Genomic DNA, 21,353 nt, shown 5'->3' on the forward strand with positions numbered 1-21,353 from the left:
TATACAACTCACCATAATGTAGAATCAGTGAGAGCCTTAAGCTCGTTTTCCTGCAACTAGTCAGTCCCATCTGAGGGTGATGGGAGACAGTGACAGATCATCAGGCATTAGATTATCATAAGAACCTAGATCCCTCACATGCACAGCTCACAATAGGGTTTGTGCTCCTATGAGAATCTAATGCTACCGCTGATCTGACAGGAGGTGGAGCTCAGGCGGTAATGCAAGCAATGGGAGCAGCTGCAAATAAAGATGAAGCTTTGCTAGCTTGCCCGCTGATCACCTACTGCTGTGTGGCCTGGTTCCTAACAGGTGATGGACTGATACCGTGGCTGAGAGATAAGGAACCCCTGGGCTATCTATACTATACAGTACGCTATACCATGTAGGTTTATGTCAACACACTGTTCGATGTTCACACAATGCCAAAATTGTGTAAGGAAGCATTTCTTGGAAAGTATCCTTGTCTTTAAGAGACTACGTATTGTCTCTTGACAATGACTACATATCGTCTATGGCCACTTTCATGCTACAGTGGCAGAGTGGAGGAGCTGGGACAGAGATCAACAGTCTTCAAAGCCGAAAATAACTACTCGCCGCTCCTTTACAGAAAACCTGCTGACCCTTGTCCTAAGATATCATTTTCCCTGGTATCCCATTCTTCCATGCTTTCTCTCTCAAGAGACAACCTGATAAAGGGCATTACTTCCTGAATATACTATTAATTTATTGATAGAATAATAACAATAGTACGGTAATGAAGAAGCTTTACCATGTATCTGCTTGCTCTGATTCTGTGTCAGCTACGTATGTTGTAGTGTTCACTGGGGCGCTTGGCATTAGTTTTTCATCAACTGACACGCCTTGTGAAAGGCTTGGTCCTGGAGTTGTTGTCTTTAATCCTGTAAATCACACAAGTAGAAAGAAAGAATCACAACTGCTAGATAGAAGATGAACATCTGGTCACTTAAAATTGTTAGACTATACCATGCTGAGGGGATTAACTAGGGAATACTGCACATGGTTTTCTCCAATGAGTGGTACCAACAAACACAAAACAGTCTATAAGCAGCCTGCGGGCATCTATGACGGGCTTATCTAAACCAAATCATTTTAAAGCCACATCAGATACTTTGTGCTGAAGTCTTATCAACTGAAAGAAAAATAAAATAAGCAAATTCTAATTCAAATTATGTTTTAAGTCAGTGGGCCAAAAAATTACATTTATTCCCCCACAGAAAGTGTATACACCCTACCATCTATAGAAATCAGAATTAGTGAGTTTTATTTTCATAAGGAATACATTATTTGAAACAAATCATGTAAAACCATCTTAGACATAAACTTCTGGCTACTCCAGAAAACCATAATGATTACCTCATCTTTTTACTTACCAGAAGAACAACTTAGTTCAAGTGCTGCTCTTCTGGAATACTTTTTTTGAATCTCCCACACTGAATTAAGTGCTCTCCAATTCTCCTTCCATACCACCACGCAAATCATTCTAATAACAATTCAAGCCAGGTGCAGTGGTTCACGCCTGTTATCCCAGCACTTTGGAAGGCTGAGGCAGGAGGATCACTTGAGCCCAGGAGTTTGAGCCCAGCCTGGGCAACACTGGGAGACCCCATCTCTACAAAAATTAAAAAAAACTTGCCAGGCATGGTGGCACACACCTGCAGTCCAAGCTACTCAGGAGGCTAAAGTGGGAGGATCACTTGAGCCCAGGAGGTCAAGGCTGCAGTGAGCAGTGATTGTGCCATGGCACTCCAGCCTAAGACCCTATCTCAAAAAACAACAACAAAAAAGCAATAAACAAAATTCACTTATGACTAGCTGAGTGACCTGTGTCAAGTTATTTAACTTCTCTATGCTTCCCTTTCCTCATCTATAAAATGAGAATAATTATAACATCTGCCTCACAAAGTTGTTTGGAGGGTAAAATAGCCCCTAGAAAAATGCTTGGAACATAGTAAGCACTGTGCCAGCATTAGCTGTTATCATTATCATCACTTGTTTACTTGCTACTTTCCCTTGTTAGACTGGTGTATCCTTGAGAATAAGGACTAAGTCTTGTGTATTTCTGTATCACCAGTACCTAGAGCAATATTTGGTATAGAGTAGATGTAAAAAAAGTTTACACTATTAACTGAAAAAAATTTTAAGTTGATATTTACTAAACACCTAAGCTAAATTATCATTCTGCTAGGTCCTTGTGACACAGGATGTGCTTAATATTTACTACTAATTCTAAATTCAGATATTTAAATGACTTCCGCCACTTTCTCTATGTGACCTCTAGAAGCTCACTGGCATTTCCTTTAAGACACATATCTCTAGAATTCATTTTCAGCTGCACATAAGTTTGGAAAGAGTAAAAATTATAAATGTTCATATCATCACTGAATAATTTAATGTAGGCTCGGTGAGGTGGCTCGCTGCTGCTCAGCACTTTGGGAGGATGAGGCAAGAGGACTGCTTGAGGCCAGGAGTTAAGAGACCAACCTGGTCAACATAGTGAGACTTCATCTCAACAAAAAAATTTAAAAATTAGCTGGGCATGGTGGTGCACACCTATAGTCCCAGCTACTCAGGAGGGTGAGGCAGGAGGATTGCTTGGGCCGAGGAGTTCAAGGCTGCGTGAGTTATGATCATGCCACTGTACTCCAGCCTGGGTGACAGAGCAAGACTTTATGAAATAATAATAATAATAATAAGCTAATGACCCAAAATAACTGGTGTTTGTTAACAGATTACTTACAATTTTCTCCTTGTTAAAAATACCATAAGGGCAGGAACTTGGTCTCATCTATTCACCTCTTTATTTCAAGTGCTTGCCATAATACAGGTATATAACAAATGTTCAATAAGTATTTGTTGAATAACAAAAGAGTGAATATAAAAACAAAGGAAGGAGGAGAGAAAAGGGAGACTCATTCACTCTGTTCCCCCAAAGTTGGTTGTGCTATAAAATTATTTTATTATCAGAGGACTATGACTTGGAACCCACCTAAACCTACCTACGAAAATATGCAAGAAGTAATACTACATACAGTGTACTTTTTAATTCACTCTCATGACTTTGTTTCTGTAGGAAATAATACATCAGAAAAAAGCACCAGTCTGGTAGTCAGAAAACCAAATTTTAGAACTGGCTTGGCCATGAAGTAGTTATGTACCTTAACTTTTCTCAGCCTTGGTATACCTTATCTTTTAATAGAACGATTAGATGATCTCTAAGGCCCTTTCAGCTATAAACACAATTTCAACAGTGGGTGACAATATTTTGTTGCTCCACACTGGAAAACATAATCTTGTGTACCAATAGCTTAGTTCAATTACGCAAAATATTTATACCTATTACAAACAAGTACCGTGCTTGCTGCTGTTAGGGGATCCCAAATTAGTAAGAGCCTACAATCTACTCAGTGGCTGAAAGAGGTGTGGAAACAACTGGTTATATCCAAAGTAGGAAGAAACTCCGGCTGGAATGCAAAAAAGCTACTGAGCATAGAAACAGAATAATTACATCTGACTTGGAGGAGTTGGGAGTGAAAACAATTTAGAAGAGCCTTACGAAGGAGGTAATCATTTGTAGAATGAGTCAGATTTTGACGAGCAGTACTGAACATTCTAGGAATGGAACATGATGTTCAAGGTGAGGAAGTGTGGGAACTATAAAAAATATGGCACACATATTCTGTAGAGAAACTATGTAAAAAAGGCGAGGTCGGGAGGAGGAAGGCTGCAGCTAAACTACTGAGGACTCAGAAGTCTAGACAAAGGGCTTGGAGATTTATTCTGTGGATAATAAGAGCTAGTTAAAATTTTTGAGAAAAGAGAAGGTAATTGAATAGTGGCATAGTGAAATATTAACTGTAGAGATGAGTCTGGAGTAAGGACCATTACTAGGGCAATTACTAATACAACCAGCACTCCAGAGAGAAGGATGTAGAGGGTTCAAACAGGGTACTGGCTGTGAGAAGGGGACAGTCACAGACCTCTTGAGCAGAAGCTGTAGAGTGAGAATTTCAGGTCTTGGTGATAAAATGGAAAAGGAAGAATAAAAAATGTCCAAAGTTTCCAGTCTGAGTGCTTCTTCTTTTTATATAAAAGAAGACTCCTCTCTAGTTCATTTCTTCTCAAGACTATTCTAATTTAGTGGTTTCTAGAGTTTGTATAGGAAACAGGAGCTTAAAAATCAAACAAAACCAACCAAAAAACTCAGATGTCTAGGATGCATCCCAGAATGTTCTGAATCATGGACAATGTACGTTTGTATTCAGAATTGTTTCTGAAGCATATATCTAGTTGAGAATTGATTTTCTAAACAGAGAAACACAGGACAGTGACCCCAAATGGGTGCTGAGACAAGGGGAGCTACTGACTTAGACCTAATCACCGTTTTTATATGTTTGTTGTAATTAAAGTCTAAAATTACTGATACTGATCTTTTTTCTGTAAGAGAACAGAAATCTATCAACAAAATAATATCTACAGCACCTGCTAGTTCTAAAAGTTGAGCATATTTCTAGTAGACAAGGAAGCAGTAGTTTCTCCAAGAATATGGCTCTCTTTGGCATCCACATTTAAAAAGTTCCCTTGCCAAGAGCCTGAAGAGTTGGTCTTTAGCTTTTTACTTTATGGATGAATTCTGGGAATTTGGTGAAAATATTAATCATATCACGATTCCACCAAAATAAGTGATTTGGTTATATTTAAAACTTCACAAGAACTTACGACTGTGTGTATTTGAAGGTTACCTATGTACAGACACAAACATATGTAGTATACTCAATGGGACAGGGTAGAGATGTCAGCTGAATAAACATTCTTATCCAAATAATAAAATACTAGCCTGTCAAATTTTATCAGATGTCTATGCTTTTGCATCAGCTCCCAATCATCCCTACACCACCATTTCTCAAAACGTCACACATTAAAATATAAGCCATTTGTACTGCAATGTGATGTCGTAACAGCTTTAAGACTCAGCTTGAACCAATTACTTGCTATGTGACCTCCAGCTAATTTCCTCTCTGTCCGTCAGTTCCCTCATCTACGAAAAGTAGATGATGCTCTTCCCTCTATCTTATAAGGACTGTTTTGCAGATTAAAGTTTGATGATGGTAAAGTGCTTACTCTAGTCTCTGCACACTCCAGAGACAGCAGTTATTATTACTATGCATGGTTACTAACGATCTACATACCTAATAGCTTCCTGGTCATTAGGCCGTAATGGCTAACTCCTTCCAAAATTTAGCTTAGCACATTCCTTACTTGTTTAAACCAAGGTTGCAGAGCACTCAGGAGATACACGGACTGACTCCATAGTTGCCATTCAATGGACTACAGTGAATGATGCTCCCCGGAGTGTGCAATCTGGTAGTGCTGTTCTCTAACTTGTCTCTTTTAGCCCAAGTTCAATAGCTGCTGATGAAATAACTACACAACAAATCCAGGGAGCAAATAAATATATAAGGAATACAGAATGGATGCTCTGAGAGCTAGGCAAATTAGATAAAAGTTAGTAGAGAGAATAAATGTAAAAATCTCCAAGGTAAAAAAGCAAGAAGAAAAGAAATAAACCATTTTTACAACAACTTACTAAAAAATTTTTTTAAAAACTATGGAAATGTGTTTTAACTAATAAAGGGGAAACAGTGACTGTCTCTGAATACATTGGCTTTCATGATTAACACTGAGATTATTATAATGCACATTCTTCATCTCAGTAAATGGCACCACCATCCACCCAGTTACTTATGCTAGGAAACTAGGAGTTGTTTCTAACTGCTCCACCGGAAAGTCCCACCAGGTCTAGTTCTAAAATATATCCTGAACCTGTTCATTTTTCTGCATCTCTACTATTACCATGCTGGTCCAAGGCATCAGGCTCTTTCACATCCAGATTTCCACAATAGCATTCTATTCACATCTCCTCTTACACTGTCGACCCTTAGAATTCTCCACACAAACCTAAGAGTGATCTGTTCCTTCTACCTGGAATTATCCACCACCCAGATCCTCACACAGCTGCCTTTTCCCATCATTCAGGACACATGGCTCAAATGTCACCTCCTGAGACTTTCCTTGAATACCTATCTAAATAGCCTACTACCATCACTATTACATACATCACCTTGTTTTACCTGTCTTTATACTTGGCTTGATCTGAACTTACCATGTGTGTGTGTTTGGTTACTAAATCTTGATCTTCAGAACATAAAGTTTATAATAACAAGGATCTTTCTTATTTTATTTACCACTTCATAACAGTTTCTGCTACATGGCAGCCACAAATATTTATGGAATGAATAAATGAAAGTATAAATGGATGAATTTTAAAACATGGTGAATATGGTCACCCCTAGCAAGTATATGAGTAACGTATATTTAGCTTATCGATTTACATAATAAAGTTGCTAACGAATCAATAAAATAATGCTTCAATTACCTGTACTGGGATGGCCCTGAGGATCACAGTAATTCTTTGTAGTCATGAAAATCACCGCCAATCCAATTTCTGCTTCAGGAATAGGTCTAAGACCTTGCCTATTAGAATAAAATAGTTTAAGTATGATAATATATTAAAACTAGCAACTTTTATTCAGATAATGTCAAGATAAAGCAACCTCTTTTTTTTCCTCCCAAATAATTTTATGGTATAGACAGAATTTCAAATGCAGAGTACTATAATAGCTTACTCGCTGGGGCACTGTTACGTTGACAAGTCTACCATCTTTTAGTAACTCCATTAACTTCATCTGTAAAATAAGGGGCTAAAGAATATAGATCTTCCCAGTTCTAAAATTCTACAATTTTTGGAATAAAAAGAATACAGTACTACCCAAATTAAACAACAGAACAGGCTTTTATGGCCAGGCATGGTGGTTCATGCCTGTAATCCCAGCACTTTGGGAGGCTGAGGCGGGTGGATCACTTGAGGTCAGGAGTTTGAGACCAGCCTGGCCAACATGGTAAAACCTCATCTCTACTAAAAATACAAAAATTAGCTGGGTGTAGTGGTGCACGCTTGTAATCCTAGCTACTCAAAAGGCTGAGGCAAGAGAATCGCCTGAACTTATGAGGTGGAGGTTGCAGTAAGCTGAGATCGCGCCACTGCACTCCAGCCTGGATGACAAAGCGAGACTCCGTCTCAAAAAAAAAAAATTAAAAAAAATCACCACAGGCTTTTACAAACAAATCTACGGATACTATGAGCCTAAGATGAAACTTCAAAGAGAAGAAAAAAAGAAGAGAGAGAGGAAGGACGGAGAGAAGTAGACAGAACTATACCTAAGGTATATCTATACATGTGTTACAACTTTTAGTAAATCAAATCATTTTGCCAAATTTACAAGTATTAAGGTATCTTCACATTAAAGGAATCTTATGGTGAACCTATTTTTTGTTGTTCTGTAAGGTCAATGACTGATTTTATAAAAACAAAAATACACCATTTAATATCATATAAAAATTACACCTCAAATTTTAACAAACAACTACAAAATGTCTTCAATACTCATTGTAAAGATTTTTTTTTTTTTTTCTGAGACAGAGACTTGCTCTTTCACCCAGGCTGGAGAGCAGTGGTGCAACCATGGCTCACTGCAACCTCTGCCTCCCAGGTTCAGGCAATTCTTGTGCCCTGAGCTTCCCAAGTAGCTGGAACCACAGGCGCGCACCAACACACCCAGCTAATTTTTGTATTTTTAGTAGAGATGGGGTTTCACTACGCTGGCCAGGCTGGTATCGAACTCCTGGCCTCAAGTGATCCACCCTCCTCGGCCTCCCAAAGTGCTGGGATTACAGGCGTGAACCACCTTGCTCAGTCAAGATATTTTAAATGGTTAGTTCGTAAGGTCTTTTTGAAATGCTTAATGTGTCTTTTTGTGTGTACTGAGCTTACTTAAATAGGATTCAGTTATACGTGCAATTAAAGTATCAGACTAAAAAAATAAAATCTAAAAAACCTTTATAATCAAGTGATCACATATACCTACCTGTAATTTAGGTAATTCAAAACTGGTATTTTATTTACTAACTTTTGCAACTATAACTTATACTATGTGAATTAGTTATAAAGAATGGTTACATAAAATAGAAACATTTTTAATACATATTTAATAATGCTCTACAGAAATTACATCACCCTTAATGGAGAAACACTGGAAGCATTTATTTTAAAGTCAACAGTGAGATAAATGTGGCCATTTTCACCACTTCTGTTCAACACTGCTCTGGAGGTCCCAGTTGGTATGGAACAAAGAGACAGAAAAAAGAGGTATCAGAGAAATAACGATTACAAAGGAGAATGGAAACATTCCTTATAGATGATAATGATTTATAGAAAAGACTATAGATAAATTATTAGGAAAAAAGAGGAGTCTGGCAAGATGGCTGGATATAAGATGATTATCTGAATGTCAGCTGAATTTCTTTACAGCAGTAGTGAACTAGAAAAGGTAATTTAAGTGACAATATCATTCATTTATAATAATATCAGAGAATATGTACTAGCTAGGAATAAATACAGTAAGATATTCAAGATCTCTCTACAGAAAATATAAAATTCTATTAAGAGATTTCAAGCAAACCTAAATAAATGGGGATACCACATTCAAGGATAAAAACAATTAAAATTTACATAAATCGTTAATTCTCAAGTTGCCTTGTAGATTCAATGCACTTCCTAATCAAAATCCAAACAAACTTTAACAAAAGATGATTCTAAATGTAAATGAAAAAATAAAGGGCCAAGAATAGCCAGGATGCTTCCGAAGAAGAGCAAAAAAAGACTTGTTCTACCAGCTAGGAGGACTTCATGGAAGTTATACTAATTAAGACAATGTGGTATTGGTACAAAGAAAGGCAGACTGATGAATGAAAAAGAATAAAGTCAAAAACACAAAAGTGCATGTAACTTTGGTATAAAACAGAATTCCAGATAAGTTAAAAACAAATGTCAAAAACAAAAGATGGTATCAAAATACTAGTAAAAAACATAGGTGAGTATCTTTAGCACTGACTAAAACAGAAAAGATTTTTACTATATAGCAGGTCCTCGAATAACATCATTTCATTCAGTGTCATTTCATTATGACATCGGCAAGAAAAAACTGATTCCTAACCAGGGCCGCTGTCTGTGTGGAATTTGCACTCTCCCCCAGTGTCCGTGTGGGTTTTCTGTGTGTACTCTGCTTTACTACCACATTCCAAAGATGTGCACATTAGGTGAACTGGTGTGTCCAAATTGTACCAGTCTGAGTGAGTGTGGGTGGGTGTGTCAGTGTGCCCTGCAATGGAATAGTGTCCTATCCAAGGTTGGTTCCCACCTTGCACCCTGAACTGCTGAATAGGCTCTGGCCACCCACAACTGTAAACTGGATTCTGGATGACAGTTATTTCACACAGGAGAAAACTGGGCTAGGGGTAACCACGTAAGTTATTTTCAAAGATCTGGCTGGTATTTTAGATGACAGATTTTTTCAAACACTTGCTGTCTGAAAAATAACTAAATAATTGGTGAACAAAATAAATGTGTATTACGCATAAATCAATGATGAGCATGTGTCATGGACCAAGGATTATGATTCATCCAATTCTGTGCAAGGCTGGGGAACAGGTCAGGAAAGAAGGAAAAGCAGGAGGAAATAAAGAGAAAATAATTAAATTAATAACAGGAAGAGTTACCAAATTTGAGCTGAGATACCGGAAAAAGGTCTCAGCAAGAACAAAAATCAGGGCTGTATTGTTCCCCTAGACTTCTAATCTTCTCCAAAAGACACTTAATCTTTACCACAGATTTCCTATACTCACTTCTGACATCTAATCAATACAGCCATGGCAATCACCAATCACAATGTTGCCCTGTTGAAGTTCGGTCAATAGCTGGCTTTACTGGCCACTCTGCTTCATATAATTGCTCCTTCATTGGCTTGAACTAAGTTAACAGGTATCATTTTAAGTGACAGTCTTTCTCAAAATATAATACTGCATTCCCTCCAAAAAACATATTGTGGCCAGGTGTGGTGGCTCACACCTATGATGCCAGCACTTTGGGAGGCTGAGGCAGGCAGATCACTTCAGCTCAGGAGTTCAAGACCAGCCTGGGCAACATGGCAAAACCCAGTCTCTACAAGAAATAAAGAAATTAGCAGCAACGTGGTGGTGTACGCCTGTAGTCCCAGCTACTTGGGAGGCTGAGGCAGGAGAATTGCTTGAGCCTGGGAAGTGGAGGCTGCAGTGAGCCAAGATCACACCATTGCACTCCAGCCTGGAGTGAAACCATGTCTCAACATCCCCCCACCAAAAACCCAAAAAACCATATTGTAACAGGGGCCAAGTGTCACCTCATGATCAAGGCACCAGGGTCTGAGCTACCTGGTACTCCAGCTACTTTTTTTTAACCTCAGGGTGTCAATATGTGCTGAAAGTAAAGAGCCTGGACTCCAGAATCCAACTGCCTGGGCTCACATCCTGGCCACCCTGCTCACTGCCTCTGCTATATGCAAACCCCCTTCTGCCTCAGTTCCCTCATCTGCACAGTGAGGACCACAACAGTAAATAATATATAGGTTGAGGATTAAATGTTTATACATACATAAATTCTTAGACCAGAACCTGCTATGTAGGATAATTTTTTTTTTAATGTATTACTGCTGTTGCTCTGCTTGGCACATTCTTTGTCTGGCTCTTTGAAAAACTGGTCATAGGTAAGACATTGCCTAAAAGAGGCCTTCTCTGTTTAGAATAAGCTTCTTCCCCACTGCCGGGTTACTGCTTCCTTTATATACATGTGTAATGATTTGTTTACTTGTCTTTCTCTGTCTCTGCCTCTAGACAGTAAGCTCCAGTGATGGCAGGGACTGTGACTATCTTGTTTTTCATTATATTTCCAGTGCCTAAAACACAATGGAACTACAGTAAATTTGTGTTGTAGTAATAAGATAGTATTTTTGTTATATAGTATATCTTCTTTTTTACAGTAGTTAATATATCTCAATTAAGTAAAATATTTATAGGATAGATGACTAAAATTTTACTTTTTATTTCAGCAAGCCTGTAAGAGAAAAAAAGAAAATCCCCCCATGGTCAGAAGGACTCCTGGGACAGGAAGAATGAATCTTTGGTAGGAAGCTGGCTGTGGACTTTTCAGGCATATAAACACTTTAGTCCTCACCTACTTTTTGCCACATGAAGAGCAATTTAGTCAGAAGACTGCCAAGCCATATATTTCTACAATACTTACTGGCTTCAACAATGCTAAGATTATTAATGCAAATTAAAGTCTAAGAAAAATCCTTCAGTTAGCTCTTTTACAGTCTCCCTCCACTCTACAAACATCATTTCAACCTATCTGACTTTTTGTCTGCTTTCCCATAATAGCCTATATAAGGATAGGAATGTTTATATGTCTTTCTAATGGGTAATAACCATCAAAGGGCAAATACATTTCAACGCTAGGCAATTGCAGAAAACCTTTTACCGTTGAGTTTTAAGTTTCTCAAATGCAACATATTCTGTAAAAAAACTTAACACTACTTTGTTAATTTACAGAGGTAAATTCTACAAATTCTATTAAAGTAACAAAAAAGCATAAAATATTTTTGAGTAAAACTGTCATGAATAAAGATATTCTATATCTAATATACCAAGTCACAATTAATTTTCAAGTATACTACACTATAAAACCTTTTATTAATTCTTGTATCGGCCGGGCGCAGTAGCTCACGCCTGTAATCCCAGCACTTTGGGAGGCCGAGGTGGGTGGATCATCTCAGGATGGGAGTTTGAGACCAGGCTGGCCAACATGTTGAAACCCCATCTCTACTAAAAATACAAAAATTAGCTGGGTGTGGTGGTGCACACCTGTAGTCCCAGCTACTAGAGTGGCTGAGGCAGAGGATCGTTTGAACCCAGAAGGCAGAGGTTGCAGTGAGCTAAGATTGTGCCACTGCACTCCAGCCTGGACAACAGAGCAAGACCCTGTCTCAAAAAAATAAAAAATAGGCCAGGCACGGTGGCTCATACCTGTAATCCCAGCACTTTGGGAGACTGAGGCAGGAGGATCACCTGAGGTCAGGAGTTCAAGACCAGCCTGGCCTACATGGCAAAACCCTGTCTCTACTAAAAGTACAAAAATTAGCTGGGTGTGGTGGTGGGTGCCTATAATCGCAGCTACTCAGGAGACTAAGGCAGGAGAATTGCTTGAACCCAGAAGGCAGAAGTTGCAGTGAGCCGAGATCGTGCCACTGCACTCCAGCCTGGGCAACAAGAGCAAGACTCCGTCTCAAAAAAAAAAAATTCTTGTATCTACTTTTACATTGTTAGGTGAAAAGCAACAAAAAAGGTTAAACATAAAATCTCCTACTTGCAGTTTTTTACTAATAAAGAATAATTCTATACCTTTGGAGCATATCCATTATTGACTGAATCCATTTCTTCTGACAGTCAGGAATTAAGGTCTGTGAGTTTGTTATTCCTGTATCAACAACACACGTTCCCGGAGCCAAAAAGAAATTATGTTCTTCTTCATTCTCTTCTGTTATCAACCTAGCTTCCCCACCTCCAAAGACAACTGCGGAACTCAATTTCTTATGCTAAAAATGGAAGGAAACATTTTTTAAAGTAAAATGTAGTAATTTTTTGAACACATAAGAATTTGATTTGGGAAACATAGAAGTACAATTCAAGAAGACTTGGTGCTACTTCTTGAGTAGGTCATTTCAGCTTCCACTTTGAGAAAGTCCCTAGTTCAACAGGTCTCTGCGGCCCTGGAACTGTTACACTCTCTGTGGTTCCTCATCACACTTCCTAACAGCACTCTAACTGTGGGCTTATCTGCATTTCTCCACTACAACATAAACTCTTGGAAACCCCACTTTGGTACACAGAACATATTCAACTGATTTAACTTCTTTAGTGAGCTTACTAACTAAAGAGGTTTAGCTTACTAACTAAAGAAGTTAAAACTAAGTTTCCTGTCCTTCTCACTTGCATATTTATGAATAGGCCAGTTATCACAGATTTTAAGAAACCCCGTAATCACAGCCATGATCACTGGGCAGGTCTGGTGCCTGGGGTTTTTTTATTCTACTTCACACTTTTACACAAAATCCCAAAATGAAATACGTTAACAACTACTGATAAGAGTTAATAATGTATCCTAGTTTGTAATGTATTCTTTAGGAAAATTTAGCTTATAACATAATTACCTGTTTGGCATTCAAAAATATAAATGTTTTCCCTTTGAAGATTTGTTTTCTTTCCTGCCGTCCTGACAGATCAACATTTTTACTTCCAATAGATGGTTCATCAAGAGGTGGGTAAAAACTGTAAAAATAATTAAAGTATATTCTAATTATATACTACTATGTTTGCTATTAAATTGTAAACGGAGTGACTATCTGACACTCAAAAGGCATAATTTCCATAATACCTTTATAGTATTTTTTTTAAGTAAGAATTTTATCTGGGACAAAATGACAAAAAGCATCTAATCGCGTTTTCTAGAAATATGGTGGCAGGTGACACAAAGAAGAGCTAGAATTGATCATTAATATCTCAAAATAAATAATCCAAGGTAGACAATCATAACAGGATGAACATTAAACACACATGACTCAAACAAGGTGTCTGAATTACAAAAGTTTGAGAGAAACATCATCCATAAAGATCAAATTCTATTAGCATCTTGTGTTTACTTAGGAGCCAATATCTATTAAAACGCTCATGTTTCAATTCTACTAGCACAATCTATTATGAGTGTTTTGTTAGAGATCTCTTTGGAGAAGTTCAGGAAATTTTTAAACTTACATTATTTACTCAGTTCAAATAAAATTTCCAAAACAAGACTAAAGAATATAATGTTTTAGCTCTTTAATTTAATGCTATAAGAACATCTTAATCATCCATGAAAATAAAGGAAAATAAGAAATGGAGAAATATCAACAGATAATTCTTAAGCCTCTCATCAGTCTAGAGTTTCAACTTCCTGTATAATCAGATCTTTTGCTACAGCTGTTCATAACTGACCGGCATTTCGACTTGTCTCTCTTCCTTTCAGTAAAAATTACTAACCCATGATGATGATGATAAGGGGACAATGTAGGGAGGGAGAAATTCACAACCTGGACAATCAGTCACAAATCAAGAGTTAACTATCTGCAGAGATCAACATCCAACGTGGTAAAAACACTGCAGTCATTAAGAGTCACTATCCAGCACTTTAGAACTAATTACCTTACATCTTTCCCCTGGACTTCTCCTTGGAAACATACATATTTCATAAAGTAAAGCTAAGTTATGATTGAAGAGTTACAATACTTTAAAATTTTTTTGATAACTGATGCATGTATTTTAATTTCACTACAATAGATGCTGTAAGTCTGTTTTAAAGCAATGATTTCTGGAAGCTGCAATCTCAAATGAGTTATCTGCAGGCAAGAGCAGACTCACTTGGCAGGACAGAATGCAGGCAACTGCGTTAGTTATGGTTTTTCTAAACAACCGACTTTAAAATTCTATTTATTTTACTTTTAAAATATACAGAGAACAGTGGAAACTATTTTAACTGTTAACAAAAACTAAATCTACAATAAGAGCACTGGAAAGTTAGTAGACATTCGGACACATAAAAAGGATCAATTTTAATATCTCTTTGAATCCTTTTTATCCTTTATCTCCTAATAAATATTCCCCCATAACTTATACTTCTTTCTTAGTGTAAAAGCCAACTAACACTTTACTTATATACAAATAACTAGTTTACCAATTAGTTCACACAATAATGTAACAACACTAGGACAGATTACAGAGCCAGTTACAGACAAAAACAGTAAGGAAATGTTTAACACATATGACTGTGTGTTACAGTCAAACATGACTATAAAACTATGACTGAGTAGATGTGAGATTCTTCCTGCTTTCCCAAAACACTAAAGTTGAATGATTTTTAAATTATCTACAGCTTTCTATTATTCACACTGTCATTCTTAATTATGCCATAGATAACAGTTTACAGTAGCCAGGGAGCAGCTAACTGTAGCTTAGTTCGATGAAGTTTGAGCCAGGTTCCTAAACATATGTGTATGGTAGCCTGTTAGGCCTCTCTAATGGCTCTACCAGAGTTCTAACTTTATTAGTGTCATTCTTTAACAGCTGGCTTCTCCACTAAGTGCCATGAGGGCAGAAACTGTAACTTTTTTTGGCTCATCATTATATCCACAAGTCTATCTTGCCTGCTTCACTGTAGGCATTCAATACATATTTACAAATAAACTGACATTACAAAATATAAATAAAAATTCAACTTAATAATTTAAAAGTGAATAAAAAGTATAAACATCCTTCAATTCCCTCAAGTATAGATTTAAGTATTAAAATTCTAGAACTTGAACAATGTATTTTGGTTTTGTTTTGAGAACACTGATAAATTTGAGCCCCAATACTTGGTAAGATCAATCTTGAACAAAAAAATACAAAACTGTATTATCTAGAAGCTAACCAAATGCTGGCTATGACTCCAACATGGGTTATTCTTAGTAATACCTACATTTGATATATGATAGACACATTCATACATAGATAATTGATAACACAGTGATCAAAAAACACTATGTTCTAGAATTTCAAATACCTACATAAGCCTTTTTCTCTTTACCAGTGTAATGATGAGAGCAAGAAAGAAAAGACTAGTGATGAATGTGAAGAGATCATTGAAAATCATTACGTCTGAAGCATTACATTCTAGAAGTTTTAAAGCATTTCTGACACTCTAGTAATTTAATAAACTAGTACAAAAACTGGAAAATAGGAAAGTAACCTGTCAGAGACCTAGGCTAGAGGCATATTGACTGAATATAACGATACTACAAATATAAAGTGATCTCCAATTTCTATCATTAAAAAATTAAAATGTTTTGGGTTCGTTTATACAGAAACTTTAAGAGCTACAAATAATTATGTTTTATTACACAGTAACTGGTACATATTATGAATCATACATTCTATAAAATGATATTAATCTAGAAATTTTGCTTTTTCCCATTCACATTTTCTATTTAAATTCTTTACATGATCTTCAATAAATTTCATCTAACCTACAGTATATCATTTTCACTTCTGTACGAAGATTTTGCAAATACAGAATTTTTCTGAATCCATGTATAATTCTGGCTCTAGAAACTGTATCCCAAGCCACACATACTTATTTGTTCAATATCTGGACAGCTGTTTATTTCATTAGTCCTGCAGGCATATGTTCATAATTTCTAGAACCATTTACTATATGGCTTTTTTTTTTTTTTTTTTTTGGTGATCTTGAAAAGGCTAGACTACAGTGACATCCACAATTTGCAAATGTGAGGTTCCATATCCTGAAAAAAATTACTAATACTAGTCATATTTCTTACCTTCGATTTAAATTAACTATGTAAGGTGACTTCTATAAGCTTCCTAAACTGTCAAACTTTCATTTACTGAGATTATTTCAGGCCAATGTGTCTGTTGGGTCTGAGATTTGATTATCAGCTGGTAAGTTAACCTGTTCCTGTTTCATGGATGCTGGCAGAAGACAAACACTCCTGAGTCACAGCAAAGCAAGCAGCATGAGCCCCAGTATGTTTGCTGCAGGTCTCCTCTCTGACCAAGTCCCATAGGGAAGACGTAGAGGGTACATACAGTGAAAGGTACATACAGTGGTGTGTGTTACAGGAGAGAGGAACACTGAACTTGGGAAACCACCGGTATTATAACAAGCTTTAAGCAAGCCTACATTTTGTCACAGGAAGGAAACATTACTTCATCCCTCGAGGTTTCTCACTGCAAACATACCCTTGAGAAATGGTCTGTGTAAAGGAGGGTCAAGGCTTTGCATTCTTGGCCTATTCAGCAAATTGTTTATGAATGCAAGGGACCCATGGAGGACTCCATCTCTCAAGAGTGTCTCACTAAAACAATACTTGTTGTTTGAAATAATTAATACACCATCCTACAACATGAGAGACTTTGTAAAACTCAAATAAAAGCCAACTCCCCCTCCTTTCTGGGGGATAATCTCCTTACATTTAGACATACAAATCTCCTCTATTAGAGCACAGATTATTGAAATTAAACACTCCTTTTAAATGTATTCTTCTAAAAATGACTTCATCTACTTTACTACTTTGATGACAGTCAAGGAAAATGAGATATTGCAAATCATTTCATGTACATGAAGTTATAACTGTCATATCCTGTTTCTTGGTAACAGTGCAAAGATGTAGACATAGCTGTACTAAATAGGACTGTATATTTTATTGGAAAAAATATTATAGTATGCCTCCTAATTTAAATCCAGGACTAGCAGTCATGCTTTTTTGGAACATTAGAGGTACTTATGTAATCAAAGGCGTCACCACAATTTATTTCATATCCTTTTCGTAACCCATTCCTTCTACTAATGTTTATAAATTGAATCTTTTTTCTGTTAATTGAGTACTCAGACAAATAAGCCTTCAACAAGCACATCAAAATGGATCCAGATAGGTATAGGACTCTATTAAGGCAAATAACTAAATATATTTAAAAATTGTATTATCAATTGCCATCATCGAATATGGGTTAATAGGATAAATAACCTGTCCCAGTTAACACCGAATTAGGAGGGATTCAACAATCTTATGGTAGGGATGTTGTATAGTCGTCATGTACATTGATACAATCAAAAATTGAATCTAGAAAAAAATTATGTTGAACTTGGTCAAAAACAACCTTAGGTTAAACACAACTGACAATGTGAACAAAAAGAGGAATCAACGACTAATTCTAAAAACTCCAAGACCATGAAATATATCTACTAGTAGTGAAAACTTATCAGACTCCTCTATCCTCAAGTATAATCTAGAATTAAGAATAGCTCACTATTTGCAGCTAGAGTCATTATTTACAAGATTTATGTACTTCCTCAGGGAGGTTCCTCAAGAGGCTTCAGGGAAAAATGTGATTCTGTTAAAATACTATGCAAGTTTGTAGTTATGTCGGTGAAGTTTCTTGAGGTGAGATCAGTGCTTTCAACTTCTTTTTTTTTGAGTCGCCCAGGCTGGAGTGCAGAGGTGGGATCTCAGCTCACTGCAACCTCCACTTCCTGGATTCAAGGGATTCTTAAGCCTCAGTCTTCCAAGCAGCTGGGATTACAGGCACCTGCCACCACACCCAGCTAATTTTGTATTTTTAGTATGTTGGTCCCACTGGTCTCGAACTCCTGACCCCAAGTGATCTGCCTACCTTGGCATCCCGAAGTGCTGGGATTACAGGCGTGAGCCACCAGGGCTGGCCTGCTTTCATATTTGCAGGAGTTCAGTCAGGGTGGTGGGAAAAAATGTAGAAAGATGCAAACCTTGGAAGGCCAAAAGGTTTTACATCAGTTTCGGAACAGGATTTGGCTGAAAGCAGCCAGATTCTTTTATACGGTGCCTGAAAGCTTAGGTTAGATAACGGGATGTTAAGAAACTGATCTAGATAAGTTACTTAGCTCGGAACCTGGCCTTTAATCATTCGTAGGACTGCTCTCTCCTGGGAGGGGAACCATGTTAATTATCCACAAGTGTGTTGACTCAAAGCCTTTGCCATTATATCTATACTGAATAAATGACCACAGCAACAGCTAGTCGGGACCGCGGCTGCTAACTCTTTACAGCACCCTCCTCAGTGTCTGTGGGTGGCCCAGCCCCCTAGCTCACTCTTTCACTGGATACCTGTGTTTGAGTGCATTTGTTCATCTGTCGCTGGGTCAGGGTCTGCGGGTCAGACCTGGCACATACTGAGGGGTCTTGGACTCAAAAAATTTTAAGAATCTTCTATTTTAAAATCTGAGTATATTTTTCCAGAGTCCAAATATATCACATTACCTGCCAACTGGAGTATAAATACAAAAAAACTTCCCAGATAAAAATTATAAACAAAGAGGAAAACCTGATTTTTTATTACTTTTAAAAGCAGACAGCTGTTATCCGGTATAAACAGTCCCTAAAAAACTAACATTAAGCCAAATAGCTTATAGCAGCTCAAAACACATTAAAATTAGCAATAAAATTCCTAACTGGCATAACATTTAAAATTTTTTTTTTAATGTTACTTTAAGTTCTGGGATACATGTGCAGAACATGCAGATTTGTTACATAGGTATCCATGTGCCATGGTGGTCTGCTGCACCTATCAACCTGTCATCCAGGTTTTAAGACCCACATGCATTAGGTATTTGTCCTAATGCTCTCCCTCCCCTTGTCCCCCACCCCCAAACAGGCCCCGGTATGTGATGTTCCCCTCCCTGTGGCCACGTGTTCTCATTGTTCCACTCCCACTTATGAGTGAGAACATACGGTGTTTGGTTTTCTGTTCCTGTGTTAGTTTGCTGAGAATGATGGTTTCCAGCTTCATCCATGTCCCTGCAAACGACATGAACTCATTCTCTTTTATGGCTGCATAGTATTCCATGGTGTATATGTGCATAGGTATGGACATATACCCAGTCTATCATTGATGGGCATTTGGGTTGGTTCCAAGTCTTTGCTGTTGTTAATAGTGCTGCAATAAACATATGTGTGCATGTGTCTTTACAGTGGAATGATTTTTAATCCTTTGGGTATATACCCAGTAATGGGATTGCTGGGTCAATTGGTATTTCTGGTTCTAGATCCTTAAGGAATCACCACACTGTCTTCCATAATGGTTGAACTAATTTACACCCCCACCAACAGTGTAAAAGCCTTATTTCTCCACAGCCTCGCCAGCATCTGTTGTTTCCTGACTTTTTAACTCAGCTAGGTAGGTATTACTCTCAATTTTGCAATGAGTAACTGGAGCTCAGAAAAACTAAGCTCCATTCCCAAAGCTATGGTGCTGTTAATATTCTGGACTATGTGGCTTGCAAAGAGGGCTGCTGCACCACACAATTCCAGAGCTAACTGTGGCGTGATGCCTGGAACTGACATATGTGCTCTTCTGACCATGAGGTTACCTCAGTGCCATTTACTGTCTTTCCATTTTTTTCTTTAAATATTAGCACATATTTAACATTTGTTTCAGAGATACAGAATAACCAACAAAGAAATTTGGGGAACTCTTTCTTTACAAACTAACAAAAAACCTTCCATTAATAATACCGAACTATAACACAGCAACTATTACATCCTGAAACAAGCATTAAAGAGGGAATTAACTTAAATAAAAATCAATGCTATCATATAAGTGACATCTTGTTATATTTAAAATACATAATATACCTTTCAATTTGTGGAGGCTGCTTCTTGGACTCAACTGCTTTCAGGAATTCAGTAAAATATTCTGGCTTTACAATTGGACGTCCACAAATGAGTGCACATATTGTCTACAATGAAGAAAACATGTGAATATATATATTCACATGCTAGCATTTTTTAAAGAAAAGTTTTAAGTTATAAACTACAAAGAGGCTGTTTACATCCATAAAAAATAATGTTTTCCCTTTCATCTCTCTAAATTTATAAAGAAGCCACAATCTATAAAATAGAAGTCGGTCTTTGGTCACTGCATTATTTTAGAACATAAATCACAGTATAATCACTCAATTATAAGAAGTCACCGATTATAATACTAATTTTTAAAACTGCTTTTTTGGAAAGGGTGGAACAACATAAAATAAAATTCAATTTTAAAATGCATTCCACTTTCGAAGACATTAAAATGTTAAAAATATATTTCAGAATTGAGGAAATGTAACATATCTGCTTCAGGGAAGACAATATTAGGAGATGAACATGAGCTATTTTTAGACTAATTGTCTTTCAAAAAGATTGTAACTATGCAATAAAGCCTTTTTGAGAAAGTAAATAAAATAATTTTTGGTAAAAGCACAAAATAAGTACATATAAAGTGGAAAAAAAGAAACTTAAACTCACATGTGAATTAAGCTATAAGCCTCAAATATGATACATCCAAAAAATATGACAAACATTAGAAAATGCTACAGTGGGCAATGAAAATAAGATTCAGAATAATATAAATATGCTTTTTTATTTTTGAGACAGGGTCTCGCTCTGTTGTCCAGGCTGGACTGCAGTGGCGTGATCCTGGTTCACTGCAGCCTCAACCTCCTGGGCTCAAGCAATCCTCCTGTCTCAGCCTCCTGAGTAGCTGGGACTACAGGCACATGCCACCATACCCAGCTAATTTTTAAAATTTTTTGTAGAGATGGAGTCTCACTATGTTGCCCAGGCTGGTCTCAAATTCCTGGGCTCAAGCAATCCTCCCACCTCGGCATCCCAAAGTGCTGGGATTACAGACGCAAGCCACTGCACCCAGCCATGAATATGCTTTCAATAACACAGGGT

The 21,353-nt window shown here is 37.2% G+C and overlaps 1 protein-coding gene across 7 annotated transcripts in view; it reads right to left on the reverse strand.

The window, feature by feature from the left end:
- NBN (nibrin) overlaps window positions 1–21,353 on the reverse strand; it is a 51,337-nt gene that overhangs the window by 24,622 nt on the left and 5,362 nt on the right. For 6 of the 7 annotated variants that reach the window (NM_002485.5, NM_001024688.3, NM_001440379.1 and 3 more), the window contains 5 exons: window positions 20,268–20,371; window positions 13,221–13,338; window positions 12,412–12,605; window positions 6,458–6,555; window positions 773–902 (listed from right to left, as the gene is read on the reverse strand). In NM_002485.5, coding sequence (NP_002476.2) covers window positions 773–902; window positions 6,458–6,555; window positions 12,412–12,605; window positions 13,221–13,338; window positions 20,268–20,371 — 644 coding nt within the window. Of the gene's footprint in view, window positions 1–6; window positions 71–772; window positions 903–6,457; window positions 6,556–12,411; window positions 12,606–13,220; window positions 13,339–20,267; window positions 20,372–21,353 lie in introns of those variants that run through there. The other variant, XM_047421796.1, reaches the window with a different exon arrangement.

Source organism: Homo sapiens, chromosome 8 (assembly GCF_000001405.40).
Source record: "Homo sapiens chromosome 8, GRCh38.p14 Primary Assembly".
Lineage (NCBI taxonomy): Eukaryota > Metazoa > Chordata > Mammalia > Primates > Hominidae > Homo > Homo sapiens.